The sequence below is a fragment of the Homo sapiens genome, chromosome 4 (genome assembly GCF_000001405.40).
Source record: "Homo sapiens chromosome 4, GRCh38.p14 Primary Assembly".
Taxonomy (NCBI): domain Eukaryota; kingdom Metazoa; phylum Chordata; class Mammalia; order Primates; family Hominidae; genus Homo; species Homo sapiens.
Genome location: NC_000004.12, coordinates 52,976,124 through 53,000,842, shown reverse-complemented (window position 1 = coordinate 53,000,842; position 24,719 = coordinate 52,976,124). Strand labels below are relative to the sequence as shown.

The 24,719-nt window shown below is 42.2% G+C and overlaps 1 protein-coding gene across 4 annotated transcripts in view; it reads left to right on the top strand.

The window, feature by feature from the left end:
• SCFD2 (sec1 family domain containing 2) overlaps positions 1-24,719 on the top strand; it is a 493,080-nt gene that overhangs the window by 365,219 nt on the left and 103,142 nt on the right. For 3 of the 4 annotated variants that reach the window (XM_017007787.3, XM_047449646.1, XM_017007786.3), the window contains one exon: positions 1-24,719. This exon is cut by the window's left edge. The exons of the other annotated variant lie outside the window; for it this stretch is intronic. The gene's annotated coding sequence lies outside the window, so the exon portion shown is untranslated. 4 annotated transcript variants of the gene reach the window in all.

Sequence of the window (24,719 nt, the reverse complement as noted above, 5' to 3'; positions counted from 1 at the left end):
TTTTTCACCGCCTGAGCTCTGCCTCCTGTCAATCAACAAGCACATGTTGAGTTGTTGCTATGTTAGTGTAACAGGTCCTCAACAACAAGTGCCCTTCCCATGAGGGACTCTTGCTTCTCTCTGCTGGTACAAATCTACCAAACCTGTTCAAAGGATACCCACAGCGAGGACCAGGGGCAGTAGGCTGGCCTGGAAGATAGGCCAAGACTCTGGGTAACGTGATGCTTGGCGCTATGGCCTGGGAACTTTGGAACTCAGGACTCAGCTTATGGATCCCCTGGCTCCTCTGTACACAATCTGGCTGGATTTCTTACCTTTCCTCCAGTAGAATAGGTGCAAAGTCAGATGCCTCATGGAGCCACACAGATAGTATAAACATGAATGGTGGGTGGTTGGAGACTGTGTCCCATCTAAAGGGAGCAGCTCCAGCCACTTGTTGCTGAGTTGGAATGTGGGCCGAATTTTGTAGTATCTAGTTTTTCTAGAGAAGCTGAAAGTCTCTATTTGTATGTGAAATCTTTTGATTTTTAGATATAGAGAGCAAAATCTGTTTGGGGCCTCCAACAGAATTCAGGTGTCTACCATCACCTGGCCACCTAATGGGCGTTCCAGGTACGAGGCTTTTCTGGCCTTTCTCAACCTGTGCTCTCCTCAGACTGGATACCAAAGGGAGCAAAGGCAGTACCCTGTGAAAGCACTTGAGTTTGCAGTCCCTGCCTCCCGCAACATCCCATTATCCAGTCCCACCATTTAGTGAGCATCTGCTATGCCCCAGGCACTGTGCCTGAGGGCTTGCTGGACAGGAGTGCAAAGATTAAGAAAATACAGTCCCTGAGGAGCTCCCTGGCTTGTGTGGAACACACAGGTAAATAAATAGACCACAGGAGAAATGCCAACCAGAGGAGGCTGCCCAGTGTCCCAGCAGCTCAGCGACTGCCATCCTTCCCATTGCACAGAACAGCCCAGGAGGATCAGAGAGGACAACAAGGAAGTCGTCTCTGACACCTCTTTAGACTCTCACAGTGGCCTGACCTTGAACCGTGATGATCATAATGCAACAGATGGTGTTCTCTTTTGGTGATTTCAAAGAAGTCGTGGTTTACCCAAAAACAACATTATAGAAGAAGCAGGCAAAAAGTGTAAAGCTCATAGTCAAATGGACGAGAATGTCAAACAGTATTTAATAGGGGTTGGCAGGGGAAACATGACCCTTCGCACATTTTACCTTGATGTCCCTGCCCTCCACACATACCAGGTCCTGTCAGACACACAGTCAGCTGAGTTGAATGTGAAATATCGTAGTCCAATTTGTTTTTACAAATTTTTCATCAAGGCAAAAACCAAAACAAAGAAAAATAAATGCCCCTCTCATGTTGATACCTCCCACAGTTCCCTCTGATTTGTGTCACCTCCTTCCTGCCCCCAACCATTTTCGTAACACACTACCTCTGGGCAAGAGGAACAGAATTGCAATCTGATGAGAGTTATTAAATGGAATACAAATGAATTCATTCACAGTCTACTAATTTTGAGTAGATTCATGGTCATTCACACTGGTATTGGACTGAAGTCTCTTTTGTCCTGTGAAATTAGGGAGTCAAAGCAATTGATTGGTGTAAAGAAGGTTTTAGGGTATAGGCAATCAGGGTGCTAATTATATGTAGTCCTTGTCAATCTGTTAAAGCAGGTGCCCAGGGATTTTACTCGCCAACACTCTTGAAGGCTCATCTTATGTTCTTGAAAGTAATAATCATTCAATTCTTTAAAAGTCAACTCCATGTATTAACCCTTATTGCTAATTCAAAATGCCCTGAAATTAAATTTCAGAGGAAATAGTAGGAAGCATACATTTGGCTGGATTTACAGAAAAGGATAAGGTGGATTTTGCCCCAGATGAGGGTTTATTTTCATGGAACTTTGTTCTCCAACCCTATAGCTCAGGGACTGTTGGAATGGATCATAACACCCCAAAATGTGTTTTAGTCTAAACAGTGTGTTAATGGCATACCATGTCATTATTGTTAATATTATTATTATTATTGATTATTACTCAAAAGTATTTCCTTTAGTATTTTGAAGCATCACTCTTGTTTTTCATTTTTGCAGAGTCAGGAGTAAATGCGCAGTCCATTTGTGACTCTGTCGTTCTTGCCAGCTGTGGTTGAGCATCAGTCTTCTTTTTGGGTGATCTTACCAGGAAGGAGTTCCTCCTGACTACAAAGAAGTGTGGCTCCACACCTACAGTTGTTTCTCCAGCTGGGGCTAAAGGGGCTGGCACTAGCAAAGTTGAGATAGTTCTTTTGAAATTAACTTTCCCTTTCATTTTCATGAATGTGGAAATAATACATTCATATATATGAACAAGAAGGATTTAATCTCTTATCATTGACATACTCTGACGGCTGAATATGCAGTTGGCCATGGTACCTAAAAGTTTCTCAGGATGCAAAGCACTCATTCTTCTTTGAAGTAAAACCAGCCTTGCTTCCATTTCTTGTTGTTTGGTACTTACAGTATTTTCTATCTCCTGCGAGGTCAGTGGCTATGTCTGTCTGACCTCACACTTCAGCCTTGCAGTGCCTGGCACATAGTAGGACTTTACTGAGTATCTGATGGATGATTGCTAAGATTTTACCCCTTCAGTGTTACATGTTTTTTTCATTATCCCAGGCCTTGCCAATGACTGCAGCTTTCCTTGTGCACTCATCTCAGTTTCACCACTAACTAGCAGGGTGACCTAGCCTAGAGAAATAATCTCTCTGGATCCTAACTTAACCATCTGTAAAATGAAGGGGTTGGGTTTCATCCACTCAAAAGTCCCTTGCATTTATACCAATATTCTACCAGGTATTTGAAAGAATTAGATCATCTAATGAGGAAGAATATAAGGAAAATAATGTTACTACTCTTGATTAGTAGTCAGAACAAGCTAGACTATCTTAACTTTTAATTGTGTGTCTCTTGAGAAGATATTTTTAGCACCATGCCAAATCCCAGAGTCCAAGGGCTGCCAGGGATATAGGCATAGAAGACCCTCTGGGCAAAGACAGACTCCTCATCAAATAGTTGGGGTTTGGCCCTAATTCCTTATCTGACTGTCTAGGTTGGTGAGGGGGTTACACCATATAGAAGCCTCTGGGTCTGTTTTTGCCTAAAGTCTATTTTCTCTGAGGTGAAGGAACCTGTTTTCCCCAGGCCTAAGCCCTGAGGTTGGCCTTTTTGATGCTTTACCATTCCCCAGGCCAGCAATAAAATGAAAAAGCAATCTTAGAAAGCCTTTCTCTGAACACTAGACCACACCTAATGGCCTTATCCACTCCAGAGCTCCCATCCCCTGGTTCTACTCCAAAGTGGGCCCCCCACAAGTAGGAGGCTTGTCTTTCTGCACGTGCTCCTGGGAAGGATGAGAAGACACACTACAATAGGCTTTTTCGCCTTTCTATTCCTGCCACGGAAAGTTCCAGTTGCCCCTAACACCAGGGCCCTCCTGTGTTTTCCTGAGAGCTCTTTGATCCCTTGATCCAAGTGCAGAGGGCCTTTCTTTTGGGGCTTGAGTGGGAGGAGGGAAACCTCAAGCTCCCTTCAAAAGCTACACATGGAGCCAACAATAACAACTCATTGGACATAGCAGGAGCCTAAGGGAAAAGTTCTGAAGTGGGCGCAGAGGGGTTCAGTCCTAAAGATTTCCAGGACTGTGGCATGGAGAGGTACCCTCAGTCTGGGGGAATAAGGTCATGGTTACCTGAGCCAAACCTAGTCAATAGCTGGCCTGGAGTCATGCATGCCCCTGAAGCAAGATAAGGGTTAAACGTTTGGAATGTGCCTGATGGCACTGCTGTTCTGAGTATTCTATTTTGTTTTTTATTCTGAGTATTTTAGATGCACACATGCAACCAAGTGCTCATTCTGAGTTTTGAAAGAAGACTTGATTTTGCTTCCAGTGAGTGGTGTTTCCAATAGAAGCACTGGAATGCAGCCTTATCTTTTCCTTCTCTTGGGTTGATCCTTTGTCCTGGCTGCTGACCTTGCTCCTTCCTCACACAAGGAGATTTTCTTGGTTGGGAAAAGTAACAGATGCAGACAGCCTAATTTGTTCTTGGCAAGAGCCACAATCTGCATTGCTGTGAGGGTCAGGAGAATCATAAATCATTCACAGAGTTCTGGTTTTCTGAGATGAGATGGGCCAGATTAGTTAGAATTTCATTTTGTTCTCCCTCTTCTCACCCCAAGCCGCATATACTCCTATAGCTGCTTATCCACAACACCAGCATCTTCCTTTTTATTTCTCAGAAGGGGAAGGGAGGGAATGTTCTCTCCAAATGAACATGAAACACATTGAGTTGGTATGTGATGATGCCATGACGCAGTGACTGGGACAACTTGAAAGCTGAAACATAAAACAGCTTTTAAAAAGGGAAAATAACACCAATGTGTTTCCAATGTGCCCTGCACAGGAAACAGGGCTGGAGGCTCCAGTGACGGTCAGGCGACTCCACTCCAGCTGGAGGATTTTTATCATTGCTCTGTTATCGTCTGCACATTACAGTCGCCAAGACCTCCTTGCTCAAGCTCTGGGAGGCAGTGGGGTCCTTATGGCTAGAGAGACTTGGAAAGGCATGACCTTGTGCATCCCCCTGTCTCTTTCAGCATGTAGGATTTCAAGTAAGTCTGGTCCCTGACTGACTCAGGGGGTGTAAATGTGTGAGGAAAAAACTTCCATAATCGAGGTGACTTTTTGTTTAGGCTTTATTCTCTTTGAACTAGAGATTGAGGAAGAAAGTGACTCAAAAGGCAGTACCAAGATTTCAGTCATTTGTTTAATGTTGAATAGGCAGAGAGTGACACTCTGGATAGATCTGGCATTGACTGAGAGCCCTGTTTTACTGCCATCAGCAGGACCAGTCTTCCTCTTTGCCACCACTGAGGATCCACAAGCTAATATGGGACTCTTGTTCTTTACTGGATTTTAGACCAGGAGGTAATAGGGCACCCTCAGACCTCATATGTGGGACATAACACAGCAGTGGAATGCATGTGGAATACCACGATGACCCACTTATAACCACCGTGCTATTTAGAATTTTCAACCCCTCCCCCTCTCCTTTTCCTTCTGCCACTCTTTCTTTGCCCCTTTCCTTGTGATGGTGTCAGGAAAGGTTTTAGTTCCTCAAAGTAGGCATTACTTCCACAGCAGTCTTCAACAAAGGTTTATTGTGAAAGACATGAAAGGAGATTGAAAGCTTTTGGATTATCCATAATCTTTATTTCTCTTACCCAGACCAGGCATGATGCTACATGCTGGTCAAACGGAAGTGACTCAGTTCTTGCTCTTAAGAAACTGAATCTAGAAGAGAAGACACAAGTAAACACAATAGTTGCTCTAGGGCAAGGGTCCCCAATTCCTGGGCCACGGACTGACACTGGTCCACGGCCTGTTAGGAACCAGGCTGCACAGCAGGAGGTGAGCAGTGGGCAAGGGAGCATTACCGCCTGAGCTCCACCTCCTGTCAGATCAGCAGCAGCGTTAGATTCTCTTGGGAGTGCGAACCCTATTGTGAACTGCCTATGGGAGGGATCTAGGTTCCGCGCTCCTTGTGAGAATCTAATGCCTGATGATCTTTTACTGTCTCCCATCACTCCCAGATGGGACCATCTAGTTGCAGTAAAAGAAGCTCAGGGCTTCCACTGATTCTACATTATGGTAAGTTATATAGTTATTTCCTTATATATTAAAATGTAATAATAATAGAAATAAAGTACACAGTAAATGTAATGCACTTGAATTATCCTGAAACCATCCCCATGCCACCCCCCTGATTCATGGAAAAATTGTCTTCCACAAAACTGATCCCTGCTGCTCTGTGGTATCAGTTTGCTTTCTTTCCTACATAGCCATTATTTGTAAGTAAATTAATGTCCTCTCCAGCAACAGATGTTGGTTGCTATCATTAACATAGTAGGTGTTTGCAAGGCTTTTTTTTTATGACGATGATGATGGTAATGATGATAAATATAGTGTATGATATTATGCAGATGTAGATACTCTCATTTTTTTCCTGTTGTTAATGAGGGAATGTTTTTGCATTGCAAACAGTGAGGACAGAAACTATGTCAGTGTCTGTCTAAATTGCTGCGTGGAGTCTCACAACAGACAGGACTTTAATCGCCAACAGTGTGGTATATCTGTCGAGTGGAGTAGAGGAAGGGCTAGAGCCCTGGAGTTCAAGTGTAATCCCCACACCACCTGAGAGTCCAAGGGAGCATGAGGCTATTTGATACCTTGGTTTACTCATCTCTAAAACAAGGTCCCTGTGTCAAATGGGCCAGATGATCTCCAGATCTCTCACTGACCAGTGGGGCTTGCCGTCCACCCTCTATTTGACAGGTGAGGGCACCGATGGCACTGACTTGGGCAATGTTTAATTGACTTGCTCAAGGTCAAGATCAGCAGAGCTAGAAGTAGAATCCAGTTCTCTGGCACCAAGTCCCGTGCTCTTTCCACTTCCCCGCTCATAATTTCAGGGTGGTCCGAGGCAGTATAAGAGGCTAGTGAAATGTTAGAGTTTTGAAGAAAACTGAAGTAGTAAGGCAGTGTTAAGAAAAACAGGGAATCCTCTAGGTTTGGTCAGAGTTCATCCAGGACTTGCCCAGAATGCTTGAGCTCCCTCAGGAACACCTGGCTGTGATCCACAGCCCTCCAGGTGTCTTTTCATTTCTCCCCCAACCATTCAGAGGAACTGCTGGCCTGAGGATGCCCCAGGAACAGCCCCACTCCTGGCCTGTGGGGAGTTACCCCTGAACAGGAGCAGCTCCAAACCCAGCTGTCTAGAGCGGGACCAGCCTCAGGGCTGGGAGGAGGGCTGGGGCCCAAGCAATGCGGTCTGCGCTTTGTTTCCCTTGCCGTGGCACTGCCAAGACCTGCAGTACACGCCCCCAGTCATCGTTTTGACAACCCCAATATCTCCCACACTTCCCTCTGTCTCCAGAGCCTTTTTCTGAGGCTATTTATTACTAAGTACAGAACAGTCTATAAATAATTTTCATGTCAAAAGAAAAGTACCTGTGCTAGAGAGTTACAATGATTCCAATTAATTTTATGACCATTTTTATCATTGGAGTTTGGAAACTTGGAGTGGAAATCCAGCAATATTGCCAACTTTTGCCTGGTATGAGTGGAGTGGCATTTTTATTTCACCCTGTATGCCAGCCCCTTGCCACTGTCTTCGTTTCTTCAGTTTTCTTGAAGCAGTCATTTTGAAGAGATAAACAATGTATGTAAAAAATTACATGGAACCTGCAAACACACTTGAGACTAAAATGCGGAGCTGCTTCTAGATATGCATCCTAGTGAGCCACTGAAAGTACTTTGATGATTTAGTTGCCGCACATAAATAAAATATTCAATTAAATTAAAAAACATACTTTTTTTATTTTTTTATTTTTTTAGTATTTATTGATCATTCTTGGGTGTTTCTCCGAGAGGGGGATTTGGCAGGGTCACAGGACAATAGTGGAGGGAAGGTCAGCAGATAAACAAGTGAACAAGGGTCTCTGGTTTTCCTAGGCAGAGGACCCTGCGGCCTTCCGCAGTGTTTGTGTCCCTGGGTACTTGAGATTAGGGAGTGGTGATGACTCTTAACGAGCATGCTGCCTTCAAGCATCTGTTTAACAAAGCACATCTTGCACCGCCCTTAATCCATTTAACCCTGAGTGGACACAGCACATGTTTCAGAGAGCAGGGGGTTGGGGGTAAGGTTATAGATTAACAGCATCCCAAGGCAGAAGAATTTTTCTTAGTACAGAACAAAATGGAGTCTCCTACGTCTACTTCCCTCTGCACAGACACAGCAACAATCTGATTTCTCTATCTTTTCCCCACATTTCCCCCTTTTCTATTCGACAAAACCGCCATCGTCATCATGGCCCGTTCTCAATGAGCTGTTGGGTACACCTCCCAGACGGGGTGACTGCTGGGCAGAGGGGCTCCTCACTTCCCAGACGGGGCAGCCGGGCAGAGGCATCCCCCACCTCCCTCCCGGACGGGGCGGCTGCCTGGCGGAGGGGGGGCTTCACTTCACACATGGGGCGGCTGCCGGGCGGAGGGGCTCTTCACTTCTCAGACGGGGCGGCCGGGCGGAGACGCTCCTCACCTCCCAGATGGGGTGGCGGCCAGGCAGAGGCACTCCTCACATCCCAGAAGGGGTGGCGGGGCAGAGGCACTCCCCACATCTCAGACGATGGGCGGCCGGGCAGAGACGCTCCTCACTTCCTAGAGGGGATGGCGGCCGGGAAGAGGTGCTCCTCACTTGCCAGACTGGGTGGCCGGGCAGAGGGGCTCCTCACATCCCAGACGATGGGCGGCCATGCAGAGACGCTCCTCACTTCCCAGACGGGGTGGCGGCCCGGCAGAGGCTGCAATCTCGGCACTTTGGGAGGCCAAGGCAGGCGGCTGGGAGGTGGAGGTTGTAGCGAGCCGAGATCACGCCACTGCACTCCAGCCTGGGCAACATTGAGCACTGAGTGAGGGAGACTCCGTCTGCAATCCCGGCACCTCAGGAGGCCGAGGCTGGCAGATCACTCGCGGTTAGGAGCTGGAGACCAGCCCGGCCAACACAGCGAAACCCCGTCTCCACCAAAAAAATAGGAAAACCAGTCAGGCGTGGTGGCGCGCTCCTGCAATCCCAGGCACTCGACAGGCTGAGGCAGGAGAATCAGGCAGGGAGGTTGCAGTGAGCTGAGATGGTGGCAGTACAGTCCAGCTTCGGCTCGGCATCAGAGGGAGACCGTGGGGAGAGGGAGACTGCGGGGAGAGGGAGACCGTGGGGAGAGGGAGACTGTGGGGAGAGGGAGAGGGAGAGGCAAAAACATACTTAAGAAAAATATACGCACACATTTTAAGGCTGCTTGGGGAAATGTATCCACTATAAAGACATGTACATTTTTTAAGTTTTTACCCTACCTCATTCCAAAAGGATTCAAGATCACTTTGGGACAGATACTGGCAGATAAAACAATCTGAACTCAAAATGTAATGGCAGAATGGCTTCCTTACTACACAGGCCTCCCATTTCCACAGCTACAGCTACAGCTACAGCTACACCCCCAGTTTCAGAACCAATACTCTTCTTAGCCAGAGAGAATTCAAACCACTTCCCTCATTTGGGAGTTGGGTGGAGCAATGTCAAGTCATCTTGAGGATGTTCTGCTCAGATGTGGTGCATTAGTAACCAGGCCCTTAATCCAACTCCTCTCCCTGAGCCTTCAGTGAACTTTGTCTCTGGGTGCCAGTCTTGTCCCCCAAGGCCAAGCCCATCCTCAAAACCTGTGTAATTTCCTTGATCCTCCAGATTTGGGAACCTTCCATCCTCCCCCTAGCCCAGTTGGTAGTAGGGGTTCTCCCCTGAACCCCAATCCCTCCTCCTAAGGTGGAAGGGCAAAAATGTGGACTTCGAAATCAACATATCTGGGAGTGACTCTACAGTGTACCTTTTTACTGTCATTAAAACTTTGACAACTTACTTCAATTTTCTTTAGATAGGAGGAATAATAATACCAATCTCAGAGATTTTGGTGAGGATGAAATGAGGTAACACAAAGTGCTTCAGACAGGGTATCATATTTAGTGCATGTCAATATTGTTATTACCTCTCCCCAAGCATACTGAACACCAACCATCTATCTCCCATGTCTCACCATATTAACCTGAAAACAAGCTTCCCTGCAGGCCAGATCTACTCAGCCCCCTTTCTGCCTGCAGAATACCCTCTAGTACCTCTTAGTGGACTTCCTTCCCTCTCCCTGTCCTACTCTCTACTCCTCATCACAGAATCTGATTTTGCACACTGAAGGGCCTGCCTCACATTGTCCACCTACAGCCAGGTGTGTTCCACATCCAGGTGGGTCAGTCCAGACTTTCCCACATTCTCCACCACCACCTCAGCCCAGGGTCTGATGGAAGTGAAGATAAAACTGATGCGTAAGAGTTACAAGAGTGGACAGTTTCTTTATCATTACTGCATTTCTCTTTTGTTGGAAAGACCAATCCTTTAAATGTTTCATGACTTTTACCCTTATTTTTTTTTCTTTATTCTAAAACTAGTAGCTACCATGATGAACAAGATAGACACAGTACCTGCCTTCAATTTGTGTATGCTTTAGTAAGAGAATACTATACTGGACAGTATATTACACATTTGACATTCCAAGTCTCAAAATACCCAGTTTTAACTTTGTACTTTACATGATTCTTCCACTTGGGAAAGTTGCTTAAACCATCTGCACGTCATTTTCTTCATCTGAAAAATGGGAATAATGCTAGCCTCCACCTATGGCTTTGCAAGCAGCCTCAGCTCTCCCCATTGGCTGGTCTCCTTAATGTAGTACACAAATGGTACAGCTATAGGAAGATCCCTGAATTAGATAATTCACTTTAAATACTTAAAAAGTAACACTGAAAGGCTGACACATTGTAAATTTCTAGCAATAACATTATTAATTGTAATAGTGGAATGAGACTAATGAGAACACATTGGGAAGACAGATTAATATCATTCAGAGCCTTATATATTTTGCAGCAGCTTTGTCTCATTAGAAACATGTTTTCAGTCGATATTAAATGTAAGAAAACAGCTTTCTTCTTATCACCAGCTCATTCTTCAGAAGCCACTGAATCATGTGAGATGTCTCTTTCATTTTTGACCCCTGCTTCAGCACTCCTTCTAAAAAGATAGTAAATGAGCATGTTACATTTGCTGCTGCAGTTAACTACTGTCTGTGAGATGCAGCAAGAGATTATCTGAGAGCATGTGCGTAAATGATAGATTGCCTCGAGCCTATTTATACATGCAGCAGTAATGAGGAAAAGTTGAAGGAGGCATGAAGGATGGGAGGGAGGGAAGGAGAGAGATGATGCCAGAATGTGCAGAGTGTAGACAGAGGAAGAGAGTCAAAGAAGGAAAAATAAAGAGAGGTGAACAGCAGGACTAGAAACATGTAAGCAGAGATGGTGGGAGGGGGCATCAGTAGGTAAAAGGAAAGAAGGGAACAGAGAAAACTCATTAGCAACCAACAGAAAAGGCAGAATTTTGAGAAAACAAAATGCATCAGGCAGATTGGGAAGAAAGTAGAATGAAAGAAATGAAAACAGGAATCAAGGTGAATAGAATCCAATGCCACAGTGGGAAACATACATTATTAGATGATGTCGATTTTATGTAAACAAGGGAGCAAAGGTTTTGTCTGATAGAAATTTCTGAACTCCTTTGAAGTCACTACCATAAGCATTCCACAGGCATTCTATTCCTTCTTTGCATTGTATTTAAAATGGGCACACTAGGGAAAATTACAGAGTGTCTTTATCATAAGTTGAACTCCTAAGCTATCACATTTCAAATACTGAAACACTATCATATAATATTAAAGGAAATTATAGTATGAATAGAGACAAAACTGAAGTTATTCTGTTAATAAGACTATTTCCATCATCTTTCCTTAGGATGCTTTATCCATAGTGGCATGTTGGTCTTATAACATCCCTTTAGGAGAAATTGATGGGCATAGCATGGTTTTTATTTCACCAAACATGGTTAAAGGACTAATAAGATAATCCACAAATTAGTCACAGAACTAGGGACATCATCCAAGTTTCTTGTTCCATTTGTACAATGATTGCCCACTCTGTTCATCCTACAGAAACAAATGAACCAGGGATTAAACACACCCAGGTGGGAGTCTGGACTCCCTGATGTTATAACTTTATAAACTGGAGCAACTCTGATGTTCTTTGTTAGGTTTCTCTTTCTATAAAATGGAGATACTGCCACTTTTTTCCCCCAGGATTATTATAACTATTAGGGATAAAATATATAAAGTGTTTGAAACAGGTAGATAGTCGACACATTGTAGCAATTATCATTTTCATGCAACAGCAAATAGTCATACATATCTTTACAGTAAAAAAGAAGTATTAATATCATTGTATTCATCAAAAAGGTGGGGGAGACAGCAAGATTAAATTAGAGCAGGAAAGGAAAATAATGGAAAAGCTTGCTAGAGTGGTTGTATCCTATAGTAAAATGGAAATGTATTCCTGTATTGCCTCTGAGTCAGTGTACCTCAGTGAAAACAAGTACAGAAATGAAATAAATTCAACTGCAGCCTCATGAAGTACTATTAAAATGGAGGTTTGGCGTCCCTCAGAAAATGTCTTCATCTGTACCTGATGGTTGAGGTAACGAATTAAGGGGGATCCAGACTATAAAAAGAAGAGTCTCGAAGGTTGAAGCCTGATTTTTTGACATTCGAAAACCTAAGAATCAGCAGCGGTCATTCTCCCTCAGACTTCATCACTCAAACTTAAAGCCTTTCTGGAGCCCAAGGACACAGAGACCTCTAAGCTGTGTAACCAGGACATTGGACAAATGTGGTTCGTAAGATTAGGTCCTAAAGCAACATTATTTTGTTTTTCACTGTTTCTTTAAATTATTCAATGGGATCCAGTTCTTCCCCTACCCCAGGATGAATATTTGGGTGAGGCCATAACTTTTCTGTTCATCCTTAAGGAATACAAACAGTCTTAATTTGCTAATTTGTAAGTCCAACTCCATGTCATAGTCAAAACTCGGAGTGTGATTTACAGTTAACGCATTTTCTCTCTCCCAGCTTCTGTGTGCTGCAGTTGATGACGGGAGGTGTGTCTGGCTCCTTCTCTCTCCCTCACATAAGGTTTCTCCTTCTCCTCCCACAGCTGATGAATTGTAGGTTCTGACCTCTGCAAGGTTAGAGTTTAGGGAAGCACTGGAAAGTCCTTACTTGTCTGACACTGTAATGAGCTGGTGTCACACTCTCTGATCTTCGCAGACGTTTCAACCTGGCACTTTCTCTTCATATGCACTTTGGTAGGATCTTCTGAGACACCCATTGCTTGTGCTGTCTCACTTGCAGTTCCTCCACATGGGGGAAATGACACCCTAGCTATTACAGTGGATCAGTTTGATGAGAGGGAATTGCATTGCGGCGTTTTATGTGTTGTTTTATTTTTGTGGATAGCAGAATAGTTGTGTGTACCATTGCCATCTCAGTTAACAATGTAAAAAGCACAAAAATAAGTCAAGTAAATGAAAAAAATCAAGATAAATGAATCTGAACAGAGATACTACTGCTTGGAGTTAGTTCAGTGAAGAACTTATCACATATTCTGATTTACAAGAGGCTCTGATGATAATGGCACATTGCCAGTCCTCTACTCTCCCCTTTCTTTGGTGAAATGGCTCACCTTTCCATGAACTCTGTTTAAAGAGACACTCCAGAGGAGTCTGTACTCTGGAGACATCAAGGAAAAGGAGATGAAAAGGAGAGCAAGATCTAGAAAAGCATTGTTTTGAGGCGGAAAGTTTGTGAAGAAAGGAATGGCCATTTGAAAATGAAAGTTTACTCATTTATATTTTAGAAAAACAAATGATATTAAATAACTACAACAAAAGAAGAAAGGGAGTGACACATAGGTCATTTATTTTAAAAATCTTTTCAGGCCGGGTGCGGTGGCTCAACCCTGTAATCCCAGCACTTTGGGAGGCCGAGGCGGGCGGATCACGAGGACAGGAGATCGTGACCACGGTGAAACCCCGTCTCTACTAAAAATACAAAAAATTAGCTGGGCGCAGTGGCCGGCACCTGTAGTCCCAGCTGTTCAGGAGGCTAAGGCAGGAGAATGGCGTGAACCTGGGAGGCGGAGCTGCAGTGAGCCAAGATTGCACCACTGCACTCCAGCCTGGGCGACGGAGCGAGACTCCGTCTCAAAAAAATAATAAAAAAAATCCTTTCAAACTACTGTTATTTTGCAACTAAAAATTATAGAACATTATGTATCAAGCTCTAAATTCTCACCAGGGCTGAGCCACATGAAACTCCCATTTTATAGATAAAAATGTTCAAATATTGTCAGTATCATATGGCTTAGAATCTTAACCTCATTTACCACAACTACTGAATTCTTTCTTGTAGTCTAGAAATTTAAAAACTTAAATTAGGTACTTTAAGAATCCCATGCCGAGCGCAGTGGCTCACACCTGTAATCCCAGCACTTTGTGAGGCCGAGGCGGGTGGATCACGAGGTCAGGAGATCGAGACCATCCTGTCTAACATGGTGAAACCTCATCTCCACTAAAAATACAAAAATTTTAGCCGAGCGTGGTGGTGGGCGCCTGTAGTCCCAGCTACTCGGGAGGCTGAGGCAGGAGAATGGCGTGAACCCGGGAGGCGGAGCTTGCAGTGAGCCAAGATCGCACCACTGCACTCCAGCCTGGGTAACAGAGTGAGACTCCGTCTCAAAAAAAAAAAAAAAAAAAAAAAAATTTCATGAAGATCCTAAGCTTGAGATGAAGGTAGTGTCTTTCTTCTCTCTTCATCCCCTGTAACACCCAGCCCACAACAGTTGCTGAGAGAATACTTATTGACTTCTATCACAAGCTCAGAGTAATTTTGAACTTGCACCGTCATTATTAGCCACAAACGTTGCAGAATTAGATTCTTATCATTGAGCTTTCCCTTAATACCCAAAGTGGAGGATACAAGTTTTAAAATCTTACATATACTCGATGACTATTAAAAAAAAAACTTTACCCTTTTTTCCCCTCTAAATTGCTCAGGGAACGGGCAGAGGGAAGAAAGGTGGGGAGGTAATTCTCACGGGGCAAAGAGGCTCAGCTCTGGAGGGAAGAGGTGGAAGCCAGCCTCCAGCCCCAGGCACCTACCAAAGCCAGGGAGCCGGTTAACATGAGATCTGCTTGACTGCGACGTCACAGGGGGACAGGTGCAAAAACAGAATATGTAAAGGAATTGTATGCTAATTCTGTCCTCTCAGTGTCTTCGAAGAAATTATTTCCTGGCGATTTGTTCAGCACTTAAAAAAAAATGTCCATATACCCGCACCTCACCAATCTACCCATTCTCTTTGGTGTTTTTCTTATCTGATTGGAAATTTCCTAGTACATGTAGGGCTTTGTTCTAAGAATAGGTGAACACAGCTGGAATTGCAGTGTCATCTGTTGCATATTTGGAGAGACTTTCAAAAAAACTTGACCTTAACCTGCTAACTTCAACCCAGAATTCCAGACAGATATTTGGACCTTCTAAAATCATAAACATTTGATATTTATATTCCTGGACTAATTTTTTAAGCAAAAAATTTGCATCTGGCCTTTTGCAATCTTCCAAAGGAAGTTTTTCAGATACGTCTGGGGGTGTGATTTCTTAATAGAATAAAACTGCCATGGTTTTATAATATGCTGCTATATGGTGCTAGAAACCTCTCCAAAACACCCTCAAATTTATCAACACCAAAATCCCCAAAGATACAAAGATGATATTAGCATTTTATTATAAATGCATTTGGGATCCTCAATAACTTGAAAGCCTTCTATTTTAGCATTAGAATGAAACATAATGCTAATTAATAAATAAGGAGCTAAGCATGGTGCCAAATGAAATAAATATTTACTGGAAATAACCAAAATGACTTCACTGCAGCAGAAAGGTCCTAAAACTGTACTCAGAAGAATGCTGGCTGTTTCTGTGTTTTCACTAACACATGCTGAATACCATGTCCCACTCTTCATACCTGGGAGGGAGCAGGGCAAGGATGACCCTTACTGCGAAGGAGCAGTCACACAGTCAAACAGTATTAAATAAGTATTTTATGATCAATACCCTTAAAACCCCAAGAGAAATTTTAAAACTTAAATTGTCTGAAGCTTAGCTGTACAGCTCCCAATTAAATGAGCGAACTGTGTTTTTAAATACCCATGTCCTACTCAAAATTCCCCATAGCTTTTCTTTTAAAAGCTATAAAATGTGTTACTGGTGACAGAATTCAGCTTAATAAGTTTCAGTAGGTTTTGATAGTTCATTCACACTTTAGCTTATAAAAAGTGTAGGCAAGTAAGCAAAATCATTTTTCCTGTCTCCTGCATTATTGGAAAAGGTACAGAATCCAGCTGCATTTCATTAAAGTTGTTTTGGAAAGTTGAAGACAGCCCATGAGGAAAAGAGGACTCAAAATTAAATACTTGGAACCTGAGGTTAAACATTGCACATGGCTTTATGTGCCTCTCTCCCCTTATATTTGGATGACAAATGACTTCAGGCCTCTGCCGACCTAAGGATTTGTCGTTGATGATTCAACAAGAAGAACTACTTAGACTTGTTTAGGATTCATGGTGAACAGGCAGTTTCCCATTCATTCTATTATATAATGGTCACTCTTAGGTCACATATACACCAAAGGGGCCCTGGCTTCAGAGGAACTTAAACCTTTGTAAGCTCTTTTATGAGTCTAGTCCTATTGGAAAGCATTTGATTCCACTGTCAGTCACCTTGTGACTCTTTTGTTTCCCTGATAAATAATTAAAAGTGGGTTGGATCCTCATAGCAGTGTTGATAGAACACCCTTGACAATGATGGCTTTGTGGCACAGTGTTGAGGTCTTTATTTTATAGAGCAGCAGAAAAAGTTCCTATTAAAGACAACACTCAAATTCTTCACTTTGTTATGTCAGTGATTTTAATATTGTAAATGTTCAACTTCAACCCTTTTGTTTCACTATGAATATATCCAATATAGCCTCCAGAGTTTTACAAAAGGTGCCCTTGGAGTAACTCACCCACTGGGGTTATATTTACCACCCTAGTGGCTTCCTGTTTGGGAACCTGGCAGGGGCAATGAGTAGGCTTGAGATGCTTTTTGAACAATCCACCATTCTCTTACATTCTCCTTCATGTACACAGGTACTCCAACTGCTTTGCAGAGAAGTGGTAAACTAATAACCCTATTTACTCAGTCAAAAACTATGTGGGAGTCAATATTTGGGGTGAGGCTTTCTCTTCAGAAAAGAAATGTTTGGCAAAACAGCCTAAATTCTCCAGGATAGAAGAGATTGATGGAGCATCTATCTTAAGAAGGGTGTAGGCAAGGATACTAGGTTAACTCCTAAAACAAATATAAATGTTTCTTTTCCATATTCCAGGTAATGAAACCAACACGAGAAAGGAGAGGGTTTGTCACTCTAGTTCCTCTTGATTCTTTCCAGCAGAGGGCACCATTTTCATTATCTAGATGGGTTTCACAGTTTTAGACATGGGAATTGTTAGGTTCTATAAATTAGAATAGGCAAATTACTGAAGAGGGCCTGGAAACTGAGCTCTCAGCTCCTGGAACTGGGAACAGACCACTTTATTCTGTAGATAAAGAAAAATAGCACTTGTCTAGAAAATGTAGGCTGTTCAAGCAGTTTATTTATTTATTTTTTATTTAAGTATATTGTAAGACCCACTACAACAAGCAGCTTAATTTAGATCTTGGTATTTGAGATAAATCCCCACTAAACTAAGGTAAATACATCTCCTTTGAACATTTGTGCATACATATATACACACGCAATTACAGCTTTTAAATTATTTTGACTGCTTTAAAATGTGGCTTTCCTTCTCTTGGAAACACTTAACACAAGAGTCATAAATATCACCACAATTCTCTGCTGTACTGTGATGTTTAGTTGTATCCGTCCTTAAAATCTTATTCTATGGGTGTTGGAAATGACAAATATATACATTGAACGCTGAATTTGGTTTTATCAGATCTGGTACTCTCATGTGGCTAGGCAAAGAGTTATCGTGCCCCTCTGTTCCTTTATTTGTGCACTTTGTAGATTATGTTATCTGGCAAGCATCCAGGTCTATTGTGAAGGCACTGAAACAATACCTTGTATAGGTTGAACCATAACACTGTCAAAAGCCAGCACAACAAACCAAGGGACCAAGTAGTTCACATTGGAACTCAATAAAAATAACCTCTCTGAGAGGTTAGAGAATCATGATTGTAAATAATGCCCACTGGAAATCCATGAGAATGGATTTTCTGAAAATATTTACTGCTCCAGGTGGATTATTATTTTGACTACTTATGGCATGTACATCTCCCAAAATAAATTGGGATGAAGTATAGATAAAGGTTTTTATTTCTTCCCCAGTGGATTGCTACATGTGCAAACTTAAAGGTCTGCTGAGTAATTATGGACACTAGAGAGCAGTAGAGGAGTGTCTGAGCACATAGCTGGTAGAAAATCAACATGCTTCAAAACAGTATCAGGCATATTCTCTTAAGGTGATATTCAGTTTCCACTGACAGTGGAAGACAATTTGAACTATCTTATAAATGAATCAATTTTTAGAGATTGGATAAATAACATCCAAACAATAAGCTATCAATAGGAATGCTAGTATTTATACTGATAAGTAGTTTATTATAAGTCAAAACTGCTTACTTTGGAGTAGAAAAATTTGGTAACAAATTCTGCATAAGATTTAGGTCATCAGTAATAGCTGTAATTCAAAGCAGATCTCTGACTACTTATGTAGAAGAGTCATCAAAATCAGTGTGATTTCAATGAATGCCTATTTATACCCAACATTCAAGACATCTGCATCAATTTACCAATAAATGTGTCTACCATTCATTATGCAGTCAAACTAGCCCGTGTACAAACTACATCACAATTCTGATCTGTTTCCCCTTGGCCATAGTAACTCTACTCGGGTGATGGAGAGAGTTACAGTGAAAATAACCACCACCATTATGCTTATGCTGTGACAGACACCATGCAGTGCAGCCTCCATTGTATGGCTTCCACTTCTAGCCTCCCATAACCACATGTCCAAAGTCAGAATCTTGGTTCCTTGTTCTTATATCTTTCCAGCTTATAAACAGTACCATTATCCACCCACACCAGAAACATAAGAGTCATCCTTGATCCATTCCTCTTCCTTACTGTCCGTAAGTCCTCTTGATTCTAATTCTAAAATACATCTCAAATCCATTTCCTTCTTTCCAGTTCCACTGTCACATTCTCACCTGGGCCCCCATCATCACATGTCTGCACACTGTAAGAACCTCCAGCTGGTCTTTCTCCTCCCAACAGTAGTAGTGTATTTATATTTGATAACACAGACCAGATCCTAGCATTTCCCTGTGTGACATCCTTCAACTGCTGCCCATTCATCTTGGAATATAATGTAAACCCCTGGTAGTGGCTCTCTAAGCCCTGACCGTCTCTCCTGGCTCACCCTGTACCCCTTCCAAATTCTTTTTGACTCGGGGCCTTCCTGTGTGGTGTTGCCCCTGCCTGAAAGCTGTGTGATTTCAGGAAGTCACTTAACCTTCTGGGCCTTGATTTTCTCCTCTAAAATAAGGACCTTGATCCTTTCTAGCAATGACCTTCCTGTTTTCTTAGAAAAAAAAATAGCAGTTCTCTTGAATTTATCTTCTAATAACCCTCTACTCAGCACTGACCCTGACATAATATGAAAGGTTAGCCACAGGCCCATTGGAAAATATTTTCCAAGTATAGTATAGAACTATAAAATGCTTTGAAACTGAGACATACATGTTAACCAGCAATGTTTTCAATTAATAGAGGGATGTGTATACCCTGTGAGAATGCTTAAAGCCTAAAATTAAAGCAGGGCAGGAGACTTCATCTTTCTTAGAAAGCAAATTTACTGTTCTCTCACTAGTTTCTGTCTGAATTTACCAGCTCCATGTGAGTTTGTATGTTCATTGGCATTCTAACCATCCTTTATTATAAGTGCATTTTCAAGGTTTATACTATTCTCATCAGCAGCACACTCTTGTCAAGTTTTTAATTTCAGATTGTCAGACATCCAAACTAGAATTGTTCCATTGCCTATAGCAGATAATAAATAATTAGATGCTCTTAAATCAGTGGACCGCAGAAAATGAAGGTGAATTTTTAAAATTCAGTTTATTTATAAACTGAGCCAACCCCATGCCAGTTCAATCCAGTTCTGTGCATTTTGCTGAGTGTCTTCCAGATGCCAGGCACTACACCAATATAGGCTATGTAATAAGCAAATGCTGGGCCCAGCTCTCTAAGAACTCACAGTCCAGCAGGAAGATCTATATGCAAAAATATCATGTCAGAAACCTGGTGAAGTAATAGAAGAAGGCGCTGTGTGCTTTGGGGTAACAAAGTGCTTCTGTCACCATGGAGGGATCAGACAAAGTGTCATGAGTAAATAATATTTACCTGTCAAAGAAGAAAACAGTGTCCCAGGAAGAGGATTCTGGTATGCAGAGAAACCAGAAGTGCATCAGCAGTGTCCTTTGGGGAAACAACTGAAATACAAAAGTGTCTGTGGCCAGAGACAAAGCTGGAAAGAGATGCAGGCACCAAGTCATGAAGGACTTTGTATGTCTCGTATTCTCTCCAAAAAATTTGAGCTGTATCCTGAAATACTAATAATAACAACATGAGCTAACTTGGGGGCCTCACTAAAACCACTTTACATGATCTAACTCATATAATGCTCAACAGCTGATGAGGTTTCAGCCCAGGTAAGCCACTGTTTGAGTCATGCTCTGAACTACGGTTATTCCACCTCCAAGTGAAAAGGAGCCATAGAAATTGTATGACCTTGGGCAAATTACTCAACACTGAACCTTCTTCCATCATCTGTAAACCAGGAATAATCATAGTGCCTGCCTCATAGAATTGCTGTAAGAACTAAACAAATTAACAAATGTAAAATGCTTGGGTAGCATTGTGCATGGCATGTGGCATGTAACTGCCGTTATTATTATCATCTTCAACATTATCATTTCCATTAATTTTTAAGATTTTAAGAAATGGAACACCATTACCATGTTTGCATTAAAAGATGACTAAGAGGGCAAATGAAGGAAGGCAGGTGGCAAGGCCATTATATTGCCAACCCCAAGGGGCACCATTCACTTTGTAGTCAGTGTAAATGACACAGTGCCCCCTTGGACCTGTGCTGTGCAATGGCTCTGAGCAGAACAAGACAAGAGGTAATCCAGAGGTGATGAGAACCTAAATGAGGGGAACAGAGAAGAAACTGGTGACAGATATTGGGGAACAAGAGATCTCATGGGTAAGGACAATAAAGAGGGACTTGATTAACTGCTAGGTTTCTGGCCTGGGTAGGTGTGCAGAGGGGAAATAAGAGGGGTGGGGAATCAACTCGGATTATTTTATGTCTCTGGATATGTGTCTCTAACTGCTTTCCAAAGGGAAAATAAACATGATTTCAGATTAGTGATTTTGTCCTATTAAGTGTGTTTCATCCTTTTATGAGTGTAAATAATTGGGATTTACTGAGTTAATCCCAATTAACTCAAACTGTGTTCCTAATAACATAGCCCAGTGCAGTTCAGTGCCAGGATAAATGTCAGAATCCTATGTTGATTTTGTGTTATTGCAGTCTTCTGTTTGGCAAGACTGACCTTGTTATTTCTGAATTAATGATTTCAATCACCCAAGACACCTTTTCAGTGAAATACGGTACATAAAAATGGAGTCTCCTAATAGTTGTGAAAAAGCACTTCATTTTATTAATATATATATATTTGAAATACTCATCACAGGGCATGTAAGTGTGAACTTTTAATGACACAGAAGAAAAAATATTTGTATATGGATCTTTTTGTAAAGACAAGCTCAGAGCACCCTCAAATAGAAGAGAGAGAAAAGAGTGGGTTGTGTCATTGCATCAGCCCCTAGAAAACCTGCACCGCTGGTGTATTATTCACACCCATCTGTAGAGGTCTCTTAGGAGTCTTGGGAGTCCCTTGGGAAAAGCCTCCTGGGAACAGGCAGTTAGAGTATGGCAGGATCATTTTCTTAGCCTGTTTTGGGTCCAATTATGTATTTTCTATTTTATCTTGCTCTTAACTACTCCCCCCCCCAAAAAAAGGCCTGGTGTGTTGGCTCATGCTTGTAATCCCAACACCTTGGGAGGCTGAAGAGAGAGGGTCACTTGAAGCCAGGAGTTCAAGACCCCTGGACAAGATAGCAAGACCCCATCTCTACAAAACAACAATAACAAACCCAGTCCAACAGGTTACACTGGCTAAACACATTTTTCTTAGGGATTTAATTTTTTTCCCTGCTTTACCTTATATGTGATACTTATCAAATATGCCACATTTTTAGTATTGCTTCACTCTTAGGGGGCCAGAGTTGTGAATGCCTTGATTCTATATTCTGGGGCTTGCTCTGTAAAGCATACATTTTACCTAAGATCAATGTCACAGGTAAGTTTATCTACTGTTCCTTTCTTTTTTTTTTCTTCATTTTTTAAAGCAAAACATGCCTCTTTATTTTTCCAAAACAACTAATCACAATGAACATCCAATATTTAGGAAATCAATCTAAAAACAAACCTTAAGGAAATAAACCATCTGTATTATTTTATAATAACAGTAATAACTACTATTTGCTGAGTCCTAATCATTGCCAAGTGCTGCATACTTCACATGTATTACTGAAATGTAATAGTCACAACAACCCTGAAAGATACATTACTTCAATTTTATAGATGAGGAGGTTGGGCTAAGATATACATAATTCAGGCCTTACTAGCAGATGCTAATTAGAATGCTTGTTGGAAATGCCTAGGGGGTCATCAGAGAGTAGCATCAAACACTGGGAGAACAGGGCCAGCATCCTGCAGAATTCTGTTTAGACCTGCGAGCACAGTCCCTTGCTCTGGGAGTGACTTTCTGTGTTCACAGCTTCTCTGTTGGGCCTGCTGTCCTCCAAGCTCCAGATTCTGTATCTTCCTCACTTATGATGACTGTTTGCTTACCCTGCTGCCCTCTCCACAATTCTCCTTTCATTCCATGCTTCACCTTCTCCACAAGTAATTAACAAGCACTTTCTACATGCCAGCAACTGCTCCAAGGACTGGAGATACAGCAGTGAACAAAACAGTCTATTTTGTTTAAATCTCTGTTCTGTGGAGCTGTTGGGCACAGACAGAAAATAAACAAGTAATAAAATCACCCTGAATCTTACCCTTTCAATCTCATACTTGACTCCAGGCTTCTAACCAAACACCTGTCAAAAACGTGGATGGGCTCTTTTCTCATCTGCCGTAGACGAAGTCTGTGGCATAGATGAAGTCTCTTCATCCTTCTTAGGCTGTAGGAATTCATTGAAAGAAGAGCCCTGGCCTCTGTGTTCCTTACTCATATACCTGAAAAATGAGCAAGGCTGTAGGAACTGCTAGCTCCTCTGTAACAATTTTCCTCTTTATTATATGTTCATATTCCTGATAACTAGAGCACGAGAGAATCTAGCCAGCCATTCAGTCTTTGTTCCTGAATACTGTCTGCCACAGATACTTCCATTTTTAACTGAATAGAATAATCTAGAAGGAAACGTAATACCCTCTTTTTTAGTCATTCCTTGCCAGATGCCTGTATCTTTCTTCTGGCCTATAGTCTGACCCCTTGAGCTCAGAGGATCCCAAGGGGCTACTGTAGCCAGTCTCTGATAATACTGTTTTGTCCCTCTTCCCATGAAGTTCTTGCCTACAGGAAAGGAGTATGACTGCCAGCCCTGACCCCCTTGACCTTAGAGTGGAATGAGGTAGAACCTTAATATTCTTAGAAAGGATGTCCTAAGCTCTTAGCAATTGTTCAGATTTAGAAATGGTGCTGTAACACATAATTTCTCCCATAAAGTGCAGTCAAGTGTAAGTGACCTCTTCAGAACCTTAATGATTCTATATTAAACAAAAACAATTGAATTTCTTATAAAAATCATCAGTTATGTACAACTTCTTAATATTCTCTCCACCTCCAGTGACAGTACAAGGAGTCAACTCTCCCGTGGGAGCAATTGTTCAAAGTAGAATTTGCCACCTCAAGGAAGTTAGAGTGATACGGGTAACAATAATAACAGGAATATGAGCTGGCCTGACACAGAGCTCACTATGTGTCAGGCTCCATGCTGACAGCTTTACATGTATGACTCTTTAAATCCTCCAACAGCCTTACAAAGTAAGTGCTATTATTGTCCTCATTTTTCAGATGAGAAAACTGAAGTAGAGAGAGGTAAAATAACTTGCCTAACATTATCCAGCTAGTAAATGGTGGAACCAGGACTCCTATCAAGGCTGCCTGTCCTCAGAGCCAGTGCCAAAATCTCAACTCTGTCATCCTTCTCAATATGAGTGAATAAAAAAGCTGTGATGAGGTGTGCTGCTGAGGGCTTACTCACCTTTGAATGGGGCTGCCACACTTGTTATCCACAGTGGAACATTCAAATCAATGCCTCAGTGAAGTGGCAGATTGTCCCATGTCATAGGTGTTTGGGTCACTGGGAACATCCGCTCCTTCAGTGTCAGGGTCGGCTGGCATTCTGACTTCACCAAGCCTACCTGTGGCTATAGTTCATCCAGCCTAGTATTTCTAGTTTGGGCTGCTGCTCCCCTTCCTCTCCACCAGAATTTTTACTATTTCAGGAGGAGGTGAATCCCTGTGAGGTAGATTTCTGATTTTGGAGATGATACTTGTGATTAAAGAGAAAGCTTGATAGGAGGAGAGCCAGAATTTTCCATGACTTTAAAAGAGGAAATAATTTTCTGCTTCACTCTGGAAGACAAGGGAAATGCCTCCCCTAACAATTCCCTTTATCAAAGTAACATTTCACCTGCCAGGTAGGTATTACTTCATTTGAATACAATAGCAGCCTTCAGCAGCAGTAGCTAAAATTTACTCCTATCACTTTCTTTTTACAAAGCCTTCAAATTTGTACACGAATAGAATCTTAGAAACAACCAATTTTTTTTATATATACTTTAAGTTTTAGGGTACATGTACACAACATGCAGGTTAGTTAC